Raw genomic sequence first — 15,501 nt, forward strand, 5'->3', positions numbered from 1 at the left:
TTTTGAGGCAGAGTCTTGCTCTGTCACCCAGGCTGGAGTGCAGTGGCACGATCTCGGCTCACGCCATTCTTCTGCCTCAGCCTTCCCAGTAGCTGGAACCACAGGTGCCCGCCACCATGCCCGGCTAATTTTTTTGTATTTTTAGTGGAGACGGGGTTTCACCGTGTTAGCAAGGATGGTCTCGATCTCCTGACCTCGTGATCTGTCCGCCTCAGCCACCCAAAGTGCTGGGATTACAGGCGTGAGCCACTGCGCCCAGCGTATTTTTTTTTTTTTTTTTTTTTGAGACAGACTCTCGCTCTGTTGCTCAGGCTGGAGTGCAGTGGCACGGTCCCAGCTCACTGCAACCTCCGCCTCCCGAGTTCAAGCGATTCTCTTGCCTCAGCCTCCCGAGTAGCTGGGATTACAGGCGCATGCCACCATGCCCGGCTAATTTTTGTATTTTTAGTAAAGACAGGGTTTCACCGTGTTGGTCAGGCTGGTCTCAAACTCCTGACCTCATGATCCACCCACCTCGGCCTCCCAAAGTGCTGGGATTACAGGCATGAGCCACCAGCTGATGATAATATTTTAAAACACCAATTCAATCTACAAGCAGCTAGCCTATCACTCCTGCAGACTCTCTTTAAACAATCCCATCTATTCTTAACACTTCAATATTCCTTTTATGCTGTAAACTTGCAAATCTCTATCTCTACGGTTAGTCTTCTTCCCTAAACTATATGTAGGCCCATATATCCAAGGGCCTCTAACATTATCTCCTTATAATAACACCTCTGGTTCCATCCTCTCTCCCCATCCAGCTCCGCCAGTTGTATTTCCTATTTTGGTAGATGGTGCCAACAATCTACTGGCTCAAGCCAGAAATCCAGGAGCCATCTTTGACTATTCTTTCTCCCTTGTCACCAATATATCCAGCAATATTTATTTAGTATCTATGGCATGCTTTACAGCCAATGTTGGTTCTATCTCTAGATTTTTTTTTTTTTTTTTGAGACAGGGTCTCACTCTGTTGCCCAGGCTGGAGTGAAGTGGCACCATCTTAGCTCACTGCAGCCTCAACCTCCCTGAGCTCAAGTGATCCTCCCACCCCAGTCTTCCAAGTAGCTGAAACAATAGGTGCACACCATCACTAATTTTTTTGTATTTTGTAGAGACGATGTTTCACCATGTCACCCAGGCTGGTCTTGAACACCTGGGTTCCAGCGATCCTCCCCGACTGGGCCTCCCAAAGTGATGGGATTACAGGCCTGAACCACTGCGCCCAGCCTATCTCTAGATTCTGACCAGCTCTCTAATTCCATTTTCCCCCATGGTTTCATCTACATTACTAACAGTCTCCCAGTTGATCTCTATTCCTAGCAGCTTGTCCCATTTAATCTGTTCTCCATATTGGGGCTAGAATTATCTCTTTAAAAAGTACATCTTAGGATGTCACCATGCGGCAAGGCTTCCCCTTGCAAAAAGAAAATCTGACATCTTCAACACTTTTTATAAGGCACCCTTGTGCGTCTATCCAGCAACATTGTTTCAGTTTCCTGAATGCTATAATCTTGGTGCCTTTGCATGTGCTATACTTTTGGCTAAGAACACTTAGACTTCACATCACTTAAAAACATTTTTTGTTTTAATACAGATGGGGTCTCGCTATGTGCCCAGGCTGGCCTCAAACTCCTGGGCTGAACTCCTCCTCCCCAACTCGGCCTCCCAAAGTGCTGGGATTACAAGCGTGAGCCACCGCGCCCGCCCACATCTCTTCTTACAGGTCAACTGGCTTTCCTTGACACCCAGTTACTTCGTTCTTCAGGTGTTGCAAAACTCATCAGCAAGCACCTAGGCAATTACTGTTCAAAATATCTATGCAGTCTACTAGACTTAAGATTCAGAAAGGCAGAAACCACATATACCTTGTTCACAGCTGGACTTCTCAGTGTCTAGTACTAGGATTCTCAATACATATCTGTTGAAGTTATGATGACATTATTACCATATAGCTATTTGAGTTCCTCCGTAATCCCAATTCTCAAGTTCTTTGAGAGAAAAAAATAAGTAAATCTCAATTATAGAATTATCCTCAAAATGTATTTATATATAATATTTCTTTGGAGGAATTAAGGAAGCAGTCACATGCAGCTGACTGTGGGTCACTGGACTTTTTTTTTTTTTTGAGACGTTGTCTCGCTCTGTCGCCCAGGCTGGAATGCAGTGGCACTACCTCAGCTCACTACAACCTCCACCTCCCCGCTTCAAGCTATTCTCCTGCCTCAGCCTCCCGAATAGCTGGGATTACAGGCGCCCACCACCATTCCCGGCTAATTTTTGTATTTTTAGTAGAGACGGGGTTTCGCCATGTTGCCCAGGCTGGTTTCGAACTCCTGACCTCATGTGCTCCACCCGCCCAGGCCTCTCAAAGTGTTGGGATTACAGGCATGAGCCACCGCGCCGGCCTGGACTCTTTAAAGGAGTGGGGAAGGCCTGCACTAACGGGATCCGGTGTAAATAATTCTGAGCAGCTCCAGGTCCTGAGCCCAGCAAGCACGTGCTGCGGCAGGGCGCGGGGAGGGCGCGCTTCGCGGAGGAAGATTCCGGGCGGCCCGAACGTGCTCGCGCCCGTAGCTGCCGCTGCCGGGGCCGCGGCCGCCCGGGTGCCCAACCGAACGCACGTGCGCCAGCGGGGCCCGAGCAGAAGGGGAGCCCCGGCTCTCACGAAGAAAATGGAGGGCGACCCACGGGTTAGGGGTCAGGAAAGGCGTGGGGCGCATTATGCCCTGGGAGGGGAAAGCACGGAACAAGAGGCTCTGAGGGACGGAGAGGAAGGAGGGCGACCCACGAGCTAGGTAAGGCGGGCCAACCCAGGTCTCGGAAGGAAGGGGGCGGGGCAGGACGGGGCGGGAGGGGCCGCGCAGTAGCTGGGCTGTGAGGACGGTTGGCGAGTTCATTCCGGGCTCGGGTCGGGAAGTGTCCGCCCCTGGAGTCAAGCTGGGGAGGGTGAGAGGTTGAAGGGCAATGACTTAGGTTCCCAGCTTCTGGCCCTGCCAGGCTCTGCAGTAGCCCAAGCCCACCGCTGCCCGGTTTCTTCTCAGAGAGCAAGCCCTCGCCCTTCGTGAGCGCCAAATCCCCGCGCTCGGCCCCGCCCATCCACTGAGGGGTGTGGGTAGGGGCGTGGCCCGTTCCCTTGCTGGTCGGCGCCCGGAAGGCGTCCGCGTCAGCCGGAGCTCGACGCGGTGACGGTGTGCGTCGACGTAAGTGACGCGCAAGCCTGGGCCGCTCCTCCTTCCCTCAGTGAGTGCCGGCCCGGTCGGGGCGGGGGAGAAGAGGGAGGGCGGGGGAGGGAGAGGCGACCCGAGAGTCGTTGTGGGTCGCGGGCCGGACCGGGTCCCGGGGCGGTGGGAGCCCCGGCCGGGCAGAAGGGCTTGGCGGGCCGTTAGAGGACCGCCACGGCTGTCGAGTCCCCTCCCTTGTTGGACTTGCGCGCCCTGGCGCTCGGAACCTCCGGCGCTGTGCCCACCCCGCTCTAGCTCGCGTCTCCCGACTCCAATTAGGTCAGGCTCGGAGTCCCGCGGCCGCGGCTCCGGTCTCAACGCTCCGGGGCCGCTCGGCTCGCCTTTCTTCCCTCGCCTTTCTCTCCTCTTGCTTCACCCTCCCCCCTTCTTTTCACGTTGCTGGTTTTTTTTGTTGTTGTTTTATGCTTTAGGGGTTTTGTTCCTCGGCTCGAGCTCATGGGTGTACATTATCATGCTCTTCTTTTGTAGAGCAGCCCGACGGCCATGGAGGCTGAAGAGACGATGGAATGCCTTCAGGAGTTCCCTGAACATCATAAAATGATCCTCGACCGATTGAATGAACAGCGAGAGCAGGACCGGTTTACTGACATCACCCTAATTGTCGACGGTGGGTAGGGCAGTGGGCAGAGGAGCGAATTTTTGGCTTCAGTTTTTTTCTGTCCTTCGGACACCCGCCTTTTTTTTTTTTTTTTTTTTTTTAACCCATCCTCTATGGTCTCCCTACCAAAGTCTGCAGAGTGTGTGCACTGGGACCAGATTGCACTTGTCAGTGTCCACTCACACAGCGTGCTGCAGAAGGCTGGTTGGTCAGTCATGCCTTCCACGTAGTCTGGTGTTCATCTCATTTTAACTTCTTACATCCTGTTGAGTGCAAGATGATGTCGTTGGGGACAGATTGTCTCAAAATGTTTGGTTGATAGCCTCTTGTTGGTAAGCTTTGAGAAGTCCCTTACAGGAGTCATTTGGGAAGTGTTGATTTTTTTTCTAGTTTCCCAAATGGTCTTGAAGGGAGAATGAGAGATTCCATTGCAGCACTCATACCCCCTTTGAGAATCTCCAAAATAAAATGGGGTCTTTACCAGCCTTAGGAGTTGCCTCTATAATGGAAGGAAATCCAGCGTGGGTATGTTTTCTGTTTAGCGAAAATAGGTTTCTCAAGGTAACCTGTTTTTAAAATTATGGGTCTACCATAGATGGAGCTTCCAAATATTAGGCATATTAAAATGTTTTTCATAGCAGACATATCCAGCTTTGTGCTTACGGTTTTTTTCTCTCTTTCCAAATGATATGTGACCTTTTGGGTTGTCCTTTTATTTAGCAGTTTCAACTGAGTTGGATATGCTTCTCACTACTTAATTGGAAACAACAGAGTGTCAAGAGGCTCCTTACCTAGTGTTGTAAATTAGGCTTTATAAAACTAAAGGGGTTTGAAGTGAAGATTTAGCTTTATATCTAATTGAGATTAACATTTGCCAAGATAGCTGCCAAGAATATTCTGCATTTAGTTCAATAATTTCTGTAGTTACGTAATGAAGGAAGACCTATTTTGCTTTATATGATTTTTAAGTCTATTTTGTAGTTATACATTTGATTTTCGTGCTTGTGTATGATTTTCTTTTTTTTTCTTATTTTACCTAGGACACCATTTTAAGGCTCACAAGGCTGTTTTGGCTGCTTGTAGTAAGTTCTTCTACAAATTCTTTCAGGAGTTTACCCAAGAACCATTGGTGGAGATAGAAGGTAAATGATTCTTGTTGTTTTTTTATTTAATAAATCAAAGAAGCCATTTTATTTAAATGCTTGTTTTAAATACAATACTTAGCAAACAATTGGTGAAGCAGTTTTAGACAGTTTATCAAGACACCATAGGAAATAGGCATCAGTAGTTCCTGTAGGTAAAGGTAGATAAATTGTTCTTTTGATACCTGAGAAGTCTTACTTTCAGTGAAGTGCTTGGTTGAATGATCTGCCAGGAAAAACTTAGATGGTAGATGTTGGTCTTTTCCATTGTGGAAACTGGTGGTCATTGTTTTTTGAAAACAAGTATTAAACGTGAATTACTATCTTTGTTCAGTGGGCTTATGTTTCAGACTGCTGGAGATGCTGCAGGTTACAGTAGAAGCTTTTACTGTACTCTATAGCAGAAGTAGTGATGTATTAGCAGAGGTACAGATGACATGCAGTGTGAAGTGGGCTGCCATAATAGGGAGAAAGCTAGGAAAAATGAACTGAAGTAGCATTTAGAGGAAATTCTGGCTCTACAATGGGATGGATCAATACCTGTTACCTTGAAGCAAAAAGTGATTTTTGTACTTTCTAGACATTTTTCTAATAATAACCTGCCAAGTGCCAGGCGTTGTGATATGTAGTTTTGTGTATTGTCTAAGGCTCACAGCAATCGTTTGATGTTGGGCAGGATGGCTTGTGCTTGTAGTCCCAGCTACTCGGGAGGCTGAGGCAGGAGGATTGCTTGAGCCCAGGAGTTCGAGGCCAGCCTGGGGCAACATAGACCCTGTCTTTTCTTTTCTTTTCTTTTCTTTTCAAAAAGGGAAGTGGTGTTATTTGTAATAATTTACACTTCAGGAAGCAGGCTCTAAAAGGTTACTTGCCCAGGGTTGTCCAACTAGCAAGGAATTAAGTTTGTGCTATTAATTACCATGCTTTTTCTTCTGCTACTGCAGTAACTCCTCCCCTACCACCAGCATCAAAATCTAAAACAGCAGGAAATAAATGTTTGCCTACGTAATTACAGAATTTTAGCTTCTTTTAGGGTTCTTGGGTTTTGGTTTTATATCTATTTCATTGTGTACGTATTCTTTGTTCTGAATGGGTTGCCTAGAAACTCCTTTTTTCCCTTTGATGCCTAGGGGAGTAAAGAAAACAAAAAAGAGTTAAGAATATTCTTTAATTTTGGTATATTCCAGTTTAGCATTATAGCTGATATATTTACAGCTAGAGTATCTTTTAATATCTATAATCAGGACAGAGACATAATTATGAAAATCCACAAAACTTAATAAAGTGAGAATCTAACTGCCCAGATGATAGTGGTTTCTACTACAAAGCAAGCCTCCATGAATTCATTCACACCTGAGGTTTATTAAATATGTGACCCCAGGCGGGTTACTTTACCTCAATTGCATACTTTTCTCCTCATCTGAAAAGTGGGTTCATAGGATTATAAAGACTAATTGCGATAACATGCAGAGTGCATGGCATGATATTTGGTGCCTTGTCAAAGCTTGATAAACAGGGTCCAGTCTAAGAAACATTAGGGAGACCTCTTCTCTACAAAAAATTTAAAAAATTATTAGCTGAGTCTGATGGCACATGCCTGTGGTCCCAGCTATTCAGGAGGCTGAGGCGGGAGGATTGCTGGGGCCCAGGAGGTCAAAGCTGCAGTGAGCCATGATTTTGCCACTGCATTGTAGCCTGGGCGACAGAGCAAGGCCCTGTCTCAAAAAAAAAAAAAAAAAGTCAGTTTATCATATTGAATATCTATAATATATCATGTACTATGTTAGACCCAGGAGATGAAGAATTAATGAATAAGATGTCCCTTAAAGAAGTCGGAAAATTTCATAACAGGTGAGCAACAGGCAAATAAAGGAGTGCAAAAAGTATTACAAAGACTATTACTGTGAAATGGTATCACTGAAGAGGGAGAATGAGTGGTTTGGTCTTCCTTAGGAAAGATTTCAAAGAGGAGTTTTGAGTCTGAGCAGAATTTTTTTTTTCTTTTTTTTGGAGATAGATTTTAGCTCTTGTTACCCAGGCTGGAGTGCAATGGCGTGATCAGGCTGGTCTCGAATTCCCCACCTCAGGTGATCCACCCGCCTCTTCCTCCCAAAGTGCTGGGATTACAGGCGTGAGACCACGACTGGCCAAGTCTGAGCAGAATTTTTAAGTCTTAAAAAATAAGTGGCCTGGCCGGATGCGGTGGCTCACGCCTGTAATCCCAGCACTTTGGGAGGCCGAGGCAGGCAGATCACCTGAGGTCGAGAGGTCGAGACCAGCCTGACCAACATGGTGAAACCCTGTCTCTACTAAAAATATAAAATTAGCCGGGCGTGGTGGTGGGCACCTGTAATCCCAGCTACTCAGGAAGGCCGAGGCAGGAGAATCGCTTGAACCCGGGAGGCGGAGGTTGTAGCGAGCTGAGTCACGCCATTGCACTCCAGCCTGGGCAACAAGAGTGAAACTCCGTCTCAAAGAAAAAAAAAAGGAAAAGTGGCCCAAGCTGGAATATTTGTTGCTGGTAGAATGAGCACACATTACCTGGAGAAGTAGAAGTAGAGCCTGGTCTTCTGAAGACTAGTCACCTTGAGATTTAGGTCTGTGGCACACACAAGTCTTCAGTATTTGAATTCTAGATAGATAAGAAAGCAAAATAGACACACACTTTATTTCTGTCATTTGGTCAGATTCAGGTTTAAATAATTAATTTGGTTCAGTATCTTAAGCCCTTAACTTTGGGGTTACAGTACTGTCTAGCAAGGTCACCTGGCTGTGGAGAAAGCCCTGGGCATATAGTTAGTTAGAAAACTTGAGTTTTAGCCCTGGCTTTAACTGTTTGTGTGCTGTGTGACCTTAGATATCTTGGCTTCCTTATTTTTCATGTCACATAATTTTGGAGTATGTCATGGACATTTGAATATTTTGTTACAAAACTGGATGCTGTTAAAATCCTCTGGAAAATATTTTTGGTTTTTTGGTTTCACTTTAGCGGGCAGTTAACCTGGTTAGGTTCAGACTGCCTCTGTGGGCTGTGGATCCAGTTTGAACTTACTTTTCAAAACCTTCGTATTGCTGTTCAGGTCCCAGGTGTGCCATCCATGCCATTGTGCAGTTCTCAGCGCCTTTCCTCTGCCGCCTTGGGTCAGTTCACACATGGGCATGTTGGTGGTAAACTTGAGATTGTATACACAAATTTAGAGGACGTTTCTTCTCTCCGTGACTTCCCTTGTACACAAGCTCCCAAGAGTTTCTTTTCGTGGTTCTTTGGTGAGAAAACTGGAATTTTAGCTTCTTTGTGCTTTTCATACGTTTTCTGTAGAGGGGCTCATTTCCTGAACAAAATGGAGAGAGAGAAAAGTTAGAGAAAAAAATAAAATGAATTCCCTCTTCCATACTCTTCCGATCATCGTCTTTTTCCTAGTTCTTTTGTCAGAAGAACTCTCTTTTAGAGTTTAGGAGACAGCTACCAGCCACAGGTGTGCAGACTCAGGATTGGGGCTTGCTTTGAGGCAGAGCTGAGAGAGAAGAAAAATTACCAGATATCCACCCCTCCCCATTGTCCCTCTCCCATTCATCATCTTTTCTAGTTCTCTAGCCAGAAGGAGTTTCTCTTGGAACTTTTCTCTGTCTTCACTCACTGCACAGTTAATGAGATTTGGGCTGTCCTCAAGTCTAAGCTGACATATGTGGGAGAAAAAAACCAGGAAACTCACTACTGTTTTGAGTTTTGATTTCTCTCGCCAGTCTGCTTGCTTCAAATTACTTTTCAGAGTCCTTGTATATTTGCTTTATGTATTCTTTCCAGGATTTTTAGTAATAATCAATGGACAAGATAGGGTGGAGTGTGCTTTCTCCATCTTAGCTAGAACTGGGACCCCGTCCCCCACTCGTAAAATATAAATAATGACTTAGCATGGCACATTAGGTGGGCATTAGAGACACCAGGGAAGCGATTACAAATATAAATGCCCAGGTTGTATCTCCAGATAATTAAAAATCTTTCAGGAGTAGGATCCAGAAAACTATATTTAAAAGTTCTCTAGGTTCTTGATATACTATGTAGGTTGTGGTCTGAGGACCACTACATGGGGATCATTTGGAAACTTGTTAGAAATGTAGACTCAGGTTCCATTCCAGACCTGCTGAATTGGAACAAGATCCCCAGATGGTGCCTACGCACAGTAAAATTTGAGCAGCACTGCCCTAGCATGATTCTAGTGTGCAGTCAATGTTGAGGACCACTGTCTTAGAGGATTGCGTAAAAGCAAATGACGTGTATATAAATTTAGATTGTAATATTCTCTGAGTATAAACTCATTAGGTGCAAGCTGAGCTCACCCTCCATGTTTTCTGTGTTCCTGGTTAAAGTAAGTTACCTTTGATGAAAACCACAGGTTCATCTTTGACTTCAAATCAGATTTGTTGCTATTGAAGCTAATTGGATCCCAGCTCAGCTTTGTGGCTTGGATTCACACCATATAAAATCTTCAACAGACATTCATTCCTTTGTTCAGAACACACAACCTTCTAACGTGAACCTCCAATTTTCTAAATTCATTCTTTTTCTACTTCACCTGAAACCACAGATCCATGGCACTTAGTTTCTCTGTAACAGCAGCTCTACCATGGTGTCCAGAAATTTTAGCCCCTACTATCAAGAACAAAACATCCTTGTACATGTTTATACATCTTTTTGAGTAGGAGTTTTCCACCAGTTGCAGGGATTCCCTGAGTCTAGAGTAATGCCACAATGCTGCTCCCTTTTACTCCTTTCTAAGCATTTCTGTCAGGGAGAAGACTTAGATTCAGTTGTTCACTTTAACATTTTCCTTAGATACTCTCTTAGAAAAGTTGTATTCTGCGCACTTCTGTTATGAAGGGAGTAAGGGATTGCTGAGATTTGTTAAGTTACCAAACTAGTCTTGATAGATGTATAATTATTACATATCCACCATCACTTCATTTAGCTGGGCAAGTATTATCAGTTTGGTTCATGTTAGCTAATTAGGTCACTGGTTTGTTCCTAGGACAGTGTTGGGCTGGTCATATAAGTTAGAAGCACCTGGGAGCTGGGCATGGTGGCTCACGCCTGTAATCCCAGCACTTTGGGAGGCCGAGCGGGCGGATCATGAGGTCAGGAGATCGAGATCATCCTGGCTGACAGAGTGAAACCCCGTCTCTACTAAAAATACAAAAAAAATTAGCTGGGCATGGTGGTGGGCACCTGTAGTCCCAGCTACTTGGGAGGCTGAGGCAGGAGAATGGTGTGAACCTGGGAGGCGGAGCTTGCAGTGAGCTGAGATGGCGCCACTGCACTCCAGCCTGGGCGACAGAGCGAGACTCCATCTCAAAAAAAAAAAAAAAAAAAAACACACCTGGGGTGCTCATAATAAAAAAAACAAAAACCCAGATATTTATCCCAGTTTTGATTCCAAAGATCAGGTACCAGTACTTTCTTTTTGGAGACAGGGTCTTGCTCTGTCACCCAGGCTGGAGTGCAGTGTACCATCATGGCTCATTGCAACCTTGACCTCCTGAGTTCAAGCAGTCCTCTCACCTCAGCCTTCTAACTACAAGCACATACCACCAAGGCCAGCTAGTCTTTGTATTTTTATTTATTATTTATTATTATTACTATTTTTGAGACGGAGTCTCACTCTGTTGCCCAGGTTGGGGTGCAGTGTGGTGTGATCTTGGCTTACTGCAGTCTCCGCCTCCCGGGTTCAAGCAATTTTCATGCCTCAGCCTCACAAGTAGCTGGAATTAAGGCTCCCACCACCATGCCCAGCTAATATTTTTTGTATTTTTAGTAGAGATAGGGTTTCACCATGTTGGCCAGGCTGGTCTCAAACTCCTGACCTAAAGTGATCTGCGTGCTTCAGCCTCCCAAAGTGCTGGTATTGCAGGCATGAGCCACCATGCCCAGCCTAGTTTTTGTATTTTTTGTAGAGAAGAGATCTCACTACTTTGCCCATGCTGGTCTTGAACTACCAGCCTTAAGCAATGCTCCTGCCTTGGCCTCCCATAGTGCTAGGATTACAGGCATGAGCCACCACACCCAGCCCTTGGTACCAGTACTTTATTTAGTCTATAGGTGATTCTCATCAGTCAGGACAGGGAGCTAGGTCCACAATTCCTTATTCAAATCTTCTCGGAGGCCAGACATACTTCTCAACATTCCAGATTTTAGAATTTTTCTAAGGGTAATGAAAAACATAATACTCACAAATACTAATAGTTTAGCAGCATAGCATGTTAGTATTCACTCTTAAGTGGGATAAAGATGACATAGCCCCATGTTAGCTGAGATCAAATTTTGCTGCCAGATTTATGGAGAAACTTCTGTGTTTTTTGTTTGTTTGTTTGAGATGGAGTCTTGCTCTGTCACCCAGGCTGGAATGCAGTGGCACAATCTCGGCTCACTACAGCCTCTGCCTCCTGGGTTCAAGCAGTTCTCCTGCCTCAGCCTCCCCAGTGGCTGGGATTACAGGTGCGTGCCACCACGCCCGGCTACTTTTTGTATTTTTAGTAGAGACGGCGGGGTTTCACCATGTTGGTCAAGCTGGCCTCAAACTCCTGACCTCGTGATCTGCCTGCCTCGGCCTCCCAAAGTGCTGGGATTAGAGGCATGAGCCACCACACCCAGCCGAAACTTCTGGTTTTAAGAGAAATGGGAGGCCAGGCGCGGTGGCTCATGCCTGTAATCCCAGCACTTTGGGAGGCCGAGGTGGGCAGATTGCCTGAGCTCAGGAGTTCGAGACCAGCCTGGGCAACACGGTGAAACCGTCTCTACTGAAAATACAAAAATTAGCCGGACATGGCAGCGCGTGCCTGTAGTCCCAGCTACTGGGGAGGCTGAGGCAGGAGGATTGCTTGAACCTGAGAGGTGGAGATTGCAGTGAGCTGAGATCAGGCCACTGCACTCCAGCCTGAGCGATAGAGTAAGACTCTGTCTCCAAAAAAAAAAAAAAAAAAGAGGAAAGTAGAGGCAATGTAGCTGAGAGATAATAAGACAGAATCAAAAAGTTCTGGCATTGATTCAGTATGGTGGTGAGGGAGAGAAAGAAATAATGTATACATTTTGTGAAATGAGTAATATAAAAGTAAGAGCAGATTCAAAATGATATTTTTTCTTTGATAACTTTCTTCTCCTAACTTCAAAATTAATTTTCCTGAGTGTTAATAGTGCTGGTTGTTAAATGAGAAAAGTTTTGAAGTGGTTGATGTTTCGATTCTTTTACCACATTTTTTAATTTTAATTTTAATTTTTTTTTGAGACAGCGTTTTGCTCTTGTTGCCCAGGCTGGAGTGCAATGGTGTGATCTCGGCTCACCGCAACCTCCGCCTCCCGGGTTCAAGCGATTCTCTTGCCTCAGCCTCTCGAGTAGCTGGGATTACAGGCATGCACCACCATGCCCAACTCATTTTTTGTATTTTTAGTAGAGATGGGGTTTCTCCATGTTGGTCAGGCTGATCTCGAACTCCCGATCTCAGATGATCCACCTGCCTCGGCCTCCCAGAGTGCTGGGATTACAGGCATGAGCCACCACGCCCGGCTCTTTTGTTTGTTTTTTGAGATGGAGTCTCACTCTGCCACCCAGGCTGGAGTGCAGTGGCATGATCTCAGCTCACTGCAACCTCCATCTCCCGGGTTCAGGTGATTCTCCTGCCTCAGCCTCCTGAGTAGCTGGGATTACAGGCACTCACTAACCACACCTGGCCAATTTTTGTATTTTTAATAGAGATGGGGTTTCGCCTTGTTGGCCAGGCTGGTCTTGAACTCCTGACCTCAGGTGATCTGTCCATCTTGGCCTCCCAGAGTGCTGGGATTACAGGTGTGAGCCACAGCGCCCGGCCTCCAAGCTTACCACTGTTTTTTATTTTGAGATGGAGTTTTGCTCGTTGCCCAAGCTGGAGTGCAAAGGTGCAATCTCGGCTCACTGCAACCTCTACCTCGCAGGTTCAAGCGATTGTCCTGCCTCAGCCTCCCGAGTAACTGGGATTACAGGCGTGCACCACCACACCCGGCTAATTTTTTGTATTTTTAGGAGAAATGGGTTTCACCATTTTAGCCAGGCTGGTCTCGAACTCCTGACCTCAGGTGATCCTCCTGCCTTGGCCTCCCAAAGTGCTGGGATTATAGACGTGAGCCACCGCGCCTGGCCCTTATCACATTTTTTGACCACCTCTGTGTTGACATGGCATACGAAGTTTTCTCCAAGTGGAAGATCCCCCTCACAAGATTGTCAACAAGTGTTTGGACTTGAGCAGGAAAGCAGAGGAACGATCATGAAATTCTAATACATTTGAGAATCCTAGTGGTATTAAGATTTTCTAGCTAATATAGTTTACATCCCTAGCATATGGTTCCCTCAAGAGTTCAGCAAAGCCTTTCTAGTAAAAATATTAATAAAGGTCAAGATGTAAATTGGAACAATAAGCAGTAATTCACCCATCCTACCACCAGAGAATAACAAGGGTAGGCATATGTGCGTATGTACAAAAAAAAAAAAATGGGGGGACTTTAGTATTATGAGTAAGAGATTGTGAACCTATAGTGAATGAGAACATGTATCTTCAAACTTTTCCAAGCAGGAAGGAAAAGTTTGAAGTTTTTATCCTGTTAGTATTCTATTTAAAATCTTTGTCATAGACTTAGGAGTCAGACCATCTGGTTGTTATCACTTCATAGAGTTGTTATGAGAATTAAGTGAGTTAATGCTTGTAAAGTATTTAGAGCCTTGCTTTATATGTATATAGTAAGTGTTACGTATGTGTGTTTGATTAAAAATCAAAATTTCATTCTACTTTGGAAACACTTACACATTGTTTTAAAAAGGATTTTTCTTGTGCTTTTAAACTTTTGGCCAAAACTTCTGAAAGACAGCAAAAGCTAGTTGTATTTTCCTTGGGCTACTCTCATATACTAAAGAATAAATGAAAGCAACAAGGAGAAAAAATACAAAGGGAACCAAATAAAACTAGCCTTCAGTGAGTCCAGTTATTTTTGTTTGCTTATTTGGTAGAGTGTAACTTGGTCTTTTTATATTTTATGGTGTTTCTCAATATTCAGATTGCTTTTAGACGTTTTGAAAATGAGTTTGCTGAGGCTCAGAGGTTCTGAATTGCCCCAGATCACTCAGTTCATGGAAGAGCTGTGAGTAAAACATGAAAGTTCTAACTTCCTGAATGGTATTCTTTTTTTTTTTTTTTTTTTTTTTGAGACAGAGTCTCGCTGTATTGCCCAGCCTAGATTGCAGTGGCATGATCTCAGCTCACTCTAACTTCCACCTCCTGGGTTCAAGCGACTCTCCTGCCTCAGCCTCCCCAGTAGCTGGGATTACAGGCGCGCGTAACCACACCCGGCTAATTTTGTTATATTTTTGGCAGAGATGGCGTTTCACCATGTTGGCCAGGGTGGTCTCGAACTCCTGACCTCAAGTAATCTGCCCACCTCGTCCTCCCAAAGTGCTGGGATTACAGGCATGAGCCACTGCGCCCAGCCAGGAACGTTTCTTTACACAAATAGAGGATACTGCTTTGAACACTTAAATGATATTCCACCAGCATTCTTACTGCTGTCCTGAAGGCCGCATTCAGATGTGTAAAACAGATGGGAAGAACATATTTTTGTGAATTGCAGTTTTACCTATTGTGTGCGGTTTGGACTTGGGCATTTCTTAGTCTAAAATCTATGTTAAATGTAGGTTTTCTTTTTGTTTTTCTTAATAGTGTCTCGTAGCCTTTCATTAGCAGACTGAACCAATAATATATAGCATTGAGATATAAAGAAACAGTATCACTTTAGGACTAAATTTTAAACACAAAACCGTCAAAAGTATCAATGATAAATGCATAATTTTGAAAGTGACTTTAGGCCTGGTGTGGTGGCTCACACCTCTAATCCCAGCACTTTGGGAGGCCGAGGTGGACGGATCATGAGGTCAGGAGGTTGAGACCAGCCTAGCCAACATAGTGAAACCCCATCTCTACTAAAAATACAAAAAATTAGCCAGGCGTGGTGGTGGGCACCTGTAATCTCAGCTACTCGGGAGCCTGAGGCAGGAGAATCGTTTCGATCTGGGGAGGCGGACGTTGCAGTGAGTCGAGATCACGCCATTTCACTTTAGCCCAGGCAACAGTGGGAAACTCCATCTCAAAAAAAGAAAGAAAAGAAGGTGACTTTAGTATTTATTCATTTATTCCTGCTTTGTGTTCTTGCATTTTAGGAAGCACTGTTAGGTACTGTGATATGAGTGTACAGATCAAAAATCACTTTCCTGAAGTAGTTTACAGTCAAGAGATGTCCATGAATTGTCATTATCAGAATGGGTACAGAGTTTACAGAGTTGAACCTTGGAGAATTAAAGAATGTTTAATGGTTAACCCATTTATGCCTGAAATTGTAATTTTTTGAATTTGAAAAATCAGACCTTGGTGATGACCTTGAGCAGTAGGATATTAATAACTCCCACATGCT

At 44.9% G+C, this 15,501-nt stretch overlaps 1 protein-coding gene across 17 annotated transcripts in view, besides 5 other annotated features; it reads left to right on the top strand.

The window, feature by feature from the left end:
- Positions 2,290–2,349: an enhancer, noted in NCBI's record as "active region_22534". NCBI's record gives its function as "activates an Ori minimal core promoter by ATAC-STARR-seq in GM12878 lymphoblastoid cells {active_cell/tissue: GM12878}" and the evidence as "EXISTENCE:reporter gene assay evidence [ECO:0000049][PMID:35858748]".
- Positions 2,530–2,879: a silencer, noted in NCBI's record as "silent region_15990". NCBI's record gives its function as "represses an Ori minimal core promoter by ATAC-STARR-seq in GM12878 lymphoblastoid cells {active_cell/tissue: GM12878}" and the evidence as "EXISTENCE:reporter gene assay evidence [ECO:0000049][PMID:35858748]".
- ZNF131 (zinc finger protein 131) overlaps positions 2,628–15,501 on the top strand; it is a 55,411-nt gene continuing 42,537 nt past the window's right edge. For 5 of the 17 annotated variants that reach the window (NM_001330707.2, NM_001330704.2, NM_001330706.2 and 2 more), the window contains exons 1-3: positions 2,628–2,837; positions 3,753–3,891; positions 4,923–5,024. In NM_001330707.2, the coding sequence (NP_001317636.1) occupies positions 3,768–3,891; positions 4,923–5,024 (226 nt within the window). In that variant the 5' untranslated portion in view covers positions 2,628–2,837; positions 3,753–3,767. Of the gene's footprint in view, positions 3,892–4,922; positions 5,025–14,094; positions 14,179–15,501 lie in introns of all 17 variants that reach the window. The other 12 variants (NM_001330712.2, NM_003432.4, NM_001330714.2 and 9 more) reach the window with 10 other exon arrangements.
- Positions 3,147–3,715: an enhancer, noted in NCBI's record as "H3K27ac hESC enhancer chr5:43121535-43122103 (GRCh37/hg19 assembly coordinates)". NCBI's record gives its function as "activates a minimal SCP1, AML or CMV promoter by ChIP-STARR-seq in primed H9 embryonic stem cells {active_cell/tissue: H9 hESC(primed)}" and the evidence as "EXISTENCE:reporter gene assay evidence [ECO:0000049][PMID:30033119]".
- Positions 3,310–3,569: a silencer, noted in NCBI's record as "silent region_15991". NCBI's record gives its function as "represses an Ori minimal core promoter by ATAC-STARR-seq in GM12878 lymphoblastoid cells {active_cell/tissue: GM12878}" and the evidence as "EXISTENCE:reporter gene assay evidence [ECO:0000049][PMID:35858748]".
- Positions 3,716–4,283: an enhancer, noted in NCBI's record as "H3K27ac hESC enhancer chr5:43122104-43122671 (GRCh37/hg19 assembly coordinates)". NCBI's record gives its function as "activates a minimal SCP1, AML or CMV promoter by ChIP-STARR-seq in primed H9 embryonic stem cells {active_cell/tissue: H9 hESC(primed)}" and the evidence as "EXISTENCE:reporter gene assay evidence [ECO:0000049][PMID:30033119]".

The sequence above is a fragment of the Homo sapiens genome, chromosome 5, assembly GCF_000001405.40.
Source record: "Homo sapiens chromosome 5, GRCh38.p14 Primary Assembly".
In the NCBI taxonomy this organism is placed as follows: domain Eukaryota; kingdom Metazoa; phylum Chordata; class Mammalia; order Primates; family Hominidae; genus Homo; species Homo sapiens.